Here is a 3,619-nt window from a genome sequence, read left to right on the forward strand (position 1 = left end):
AGAGGTGTTTATAGTATTCTCTGATGGTAGTTTGTATTTCTGTGGGATCAGTGGTGATATCCCCTTTATCATTTTTTATTGCATCTATTTGATTCTTCTCTCTTTTCTTCTTTATTAGTCTGGCTAGCAGTCTATCTATGTTGTTGATCTTTTCAAAAAACCAGCTCCTGGATTCATTGATCTTTTGAACGGTTTTTCATGTCTCTATCTCTTTCAGTTCTGCTCTGATCTTAGTTATTTCTTGTCTTCTGTTAGCTTTTGAATTTGTTTGCTCTTGCTTCTCTTCTCTAGTTCTTTTTTTTTCACCAGTTGTCAAATGATTCTTTACTGAAATATTTTCCTTTGTGCTTAACTGGCTGGGCATTCCACAGCACCAATGTTGATGTGATCTATGATGTCATGAGGGTGGCGGCCATCAACGTTACAGCCCACAGACTGGGCAGTCCCCAGGATCTCTTTAATGGTTCCAGAGAGTTCTCTGGCTAAGGATCAGTGCCGCATCTGTCAAGCAATGTTGACGATCTCATCAAAAGTGATATTCCCACGGTGTTTAATGTTTTTCTATTTCTTTCTGTGTCTTGGTGGTTCCTTAAGAGCTTTGATGATTAGGGCAGAGGCAGAAGGCACCACTTCAATCTGGGCCTGTCTGTTCTGAATGGTCAGTTTCACTGTAATCCTCAGGCCCTTCCAGTCACCCGTTGCCTTGGCAATGTCATCACCAACCTTTTTTGGAGACAGACCCAGGGGGCCGATCTTGGGGGCCAGGGCAGAAGTGGCACCGACTTCACCTCCGGTGCACCTCAGGTATACGACTTTGATTTCGTTGGGGTCGAACTTTGGCGGCATGGTGGAGGCGGCTGGTGCGGAATGACCAAAGAAAGTTGCACCTTGGCCTCCTCCAAGCCGAAAGCCGAGAGCTCTCTAGTTCTTTTAATTGTGATGTTAGGGTGTCGATTTCAGATCTTTCCTGCTTTCTCTTGTGGGCATTTAATGCTATAAATTTCCCTCTAAACACTGCTTTAGATGTGTCCCAGAGATTCTGGTACATTGTGTCTTTGTTCTCATTGGTTTCAAAGAACTTACTTATTTCTGCCTTAATTTCGTTATTTACCCAGTACTCATTCAGGAGCAGGTTGTTCAGTTTCCATGTAGTTGTGTGGTTTTGAGTGAGTTTCTTAAGGGAATTGTTGGCAAGATGGCCAAATAGGAACAGCTCTGGTCTGCAGCTCCCAGCGAGACTGATGTGGAAGGTGGGTGATTTCTGCATTTCCACCTGAGGTACCTGATTTATCTCATTGGGACTGGTTGGACAGTGGGTGCAGCCGACAGACAGCAAGCCGAAGCAGGGTGGGGTGTTGCCTCACCTGGGAAGCACAAGGGGTTGGGGAACTCCCTCCCCTAGCCAAGGAAGTCCCACTAAGGGACTGTGCCATGAGGAACACTGCACTCCAGGCCAGATACTGCGCCTTTCCCATGGTCTTCACTTTTTTTTTTTTTTTTTCCAAGACAGGGTCTTGTTCTGTCACCCAGGCTGGAGTGCAGTGGCGTGATCTCGGCTCACTGCAACCTCTGCCTCCCGGGTTCAAGCAATTCTCCTGCCTCAGCCTCCTGAGTAGCTGGGATTATAGGTGCATGCCACCACGCCCAGCTAATTTTTGTGTTTTTAGTAGAGACGGGGTTTCACCATGTTGGCCAGGCTGGTCTTGAACTCCTGACGTTGTGATTCTCCTGCCTTGGCCTCCGAAAGTGCTGGGGTTACAGGCGTGAGCCACCGTGCCTGGCCGAGTGACATACATTTTTAGCTCTACTAAGAAAGAGTTCAAGCTAAGAGTCTTTGATCTTCTAGGATTTCTAACACATGTGAACTCTACATGCTTTCTGTAATTCTACCAGATGTAGCCAAATTGTTCATAGTGAGTCCATCAACTTATAACTAGCTTTAGTTACAGATCTCTTGCCTTCTACTATTATACAGGGTGGATTTTCAGATGCGGATGTTCTTTTGATTTGTGGTTTGCCCATTTCCTTCCAAGAAGTTGTCAAAAATGGCCTGGACTGGTGGAACCTTTACCATAGTTTATGCTGAGATAGCATTATTATGCCAGTTAAACAAATGCAATACTTTGAAGACTCTGACCTAGTTAGTTTAGACTTTAGAGTGAAAAAACCTGAAATGAAATAGAGGAAGAGTATTAAGGTAGAAGCATATAGCTTGGGGGAAAATATATCTATTTTTTCATTTTGTTTATTGTATTCTCTTTTTTTTTCTCAATTTTTTTTACCTCCTCTTTGACCCATGGATTATCTAAAAGTATTTTGTTTAGTTTGGAGATTTTCCTGTTATGTTTCCATTATTGATTTCTAGTTTGATTTCATTGTGGCCACAGATTACATTTTACATAATTTCAGTTCTTTTAAATTTAAGGTTTGTTTTATGGCCCAGGATATGATCTGTCTTGGTGTATGTTCTGTTGTTGTGTTCTGTTGTTGGGTGGAGTTTTTCTAAGCCTGTATGTTACTGGTTGATGTTATTGTTTAGTTCTTTTATATCATTGCTGATTTTCTGCCTAGTTGTTCTAGTAATTGTTAAGAGGGAAGTGTTGAAGTCTCCGTCTGTAACTGTAGGTTTGTCTATTTCTCCTTTCAGTTCTATCAGCTTTTGCTTCATATATTTTGTGGCCCTAAACGCATGCACACTTCAGGTTAACATTCTTGGCTGGGTGCCATCATTGCAGCACTTTGGGAGGCCAAGGCAGGTGGGTCGCTTGAGCTGAGGATTTCGAAACCAGCCTGGGTAACATGGCGAAACCCCATCTCTACCAAAAATACAAAAATTAGCCGGGCATGGTGGCGTGTGCCTGTGGTCCTAGCTACTCAGGAGACTGAGGTGGGAGGGTCACCTGAATCTGGGGAGTTTGAGGCTGCAGCGAGCTGAGATTGTGCCACTGCATTCCAGCCTGGTGACAGAGTGAGACCCTGTATTTAAAAAAAAAAAATCCCCTGCACTCTTATTTATTCAGCCCTCCCTACCCACAACTCATAGTTCTTGGCCAATCTCTCTCTCTCTCTTTTTTTTTTTTGAGACAGTGTCTCTGTCTAGTGTCCAGGTTGGAGTGCAATGACCAGATCTCAGCTTATTGCAACCACTACTTCCTGGGTTCAAGTGATACTTCTGTCTCAGCCTCCCAAGTACCTGGGGCCACAGGCATGAGCCACCACTCCTGGCTAATTTTTGTATTTTTTGTAGAGACAGTGTTTCACCATATTGCCCAGGCTGATCTCGAACTCCTGAGCTCAAATGATCATCCTAACTCAGCTTCCCAAAGTGCTGAGATTAGAGGTGTGAGCTACTCCACCCAGCCTAGATAACTTCTTTTTTTTAATTTTTATTTTTAGATGGAGTCTCGCTCTGTCGCCCAGGCTGGAGTGCAGTGGCATGATCTCGGCTCACTGCAACCTCTGCCTCCCGGGTTGACGCCATTCTCCTGCCTCAGCCTCCCAAGTAGCTGGGACTACAGGTGCCTGCCGCCACTCCTGGCTAATTTTTTGTATTTTTAGTAGAGATGGGGTTTCACCGTGTTAGCCAGGATGGTCTTGATCTCCTGACCTCATGATCTGC

At 44.4% G+C, this 3,619-nt stretch overlaps 1 pseudogene; it reads right to left on the reverse strand.

The window, feature by feature from the left end:
• Positions 304 to 917, reverse strand: RPL12P6 (ribosomal protein L12 pseudogene 6; annotated as a pseudogene).

The sequence above is a fragment of the Homo sapiens genome, chromosome 14 (assembly GCF_000001405.40).
Source record: "Homo sapiens chromosome 14, GRCh38.p14 Primary Assembly".
Classification (NCBI taxonomy): domain Eukaryota; kingdom Metazoa; phylum Chordata; class Mammalia; order Primates; family Hominidae; genus Homo; species Homo sapiens.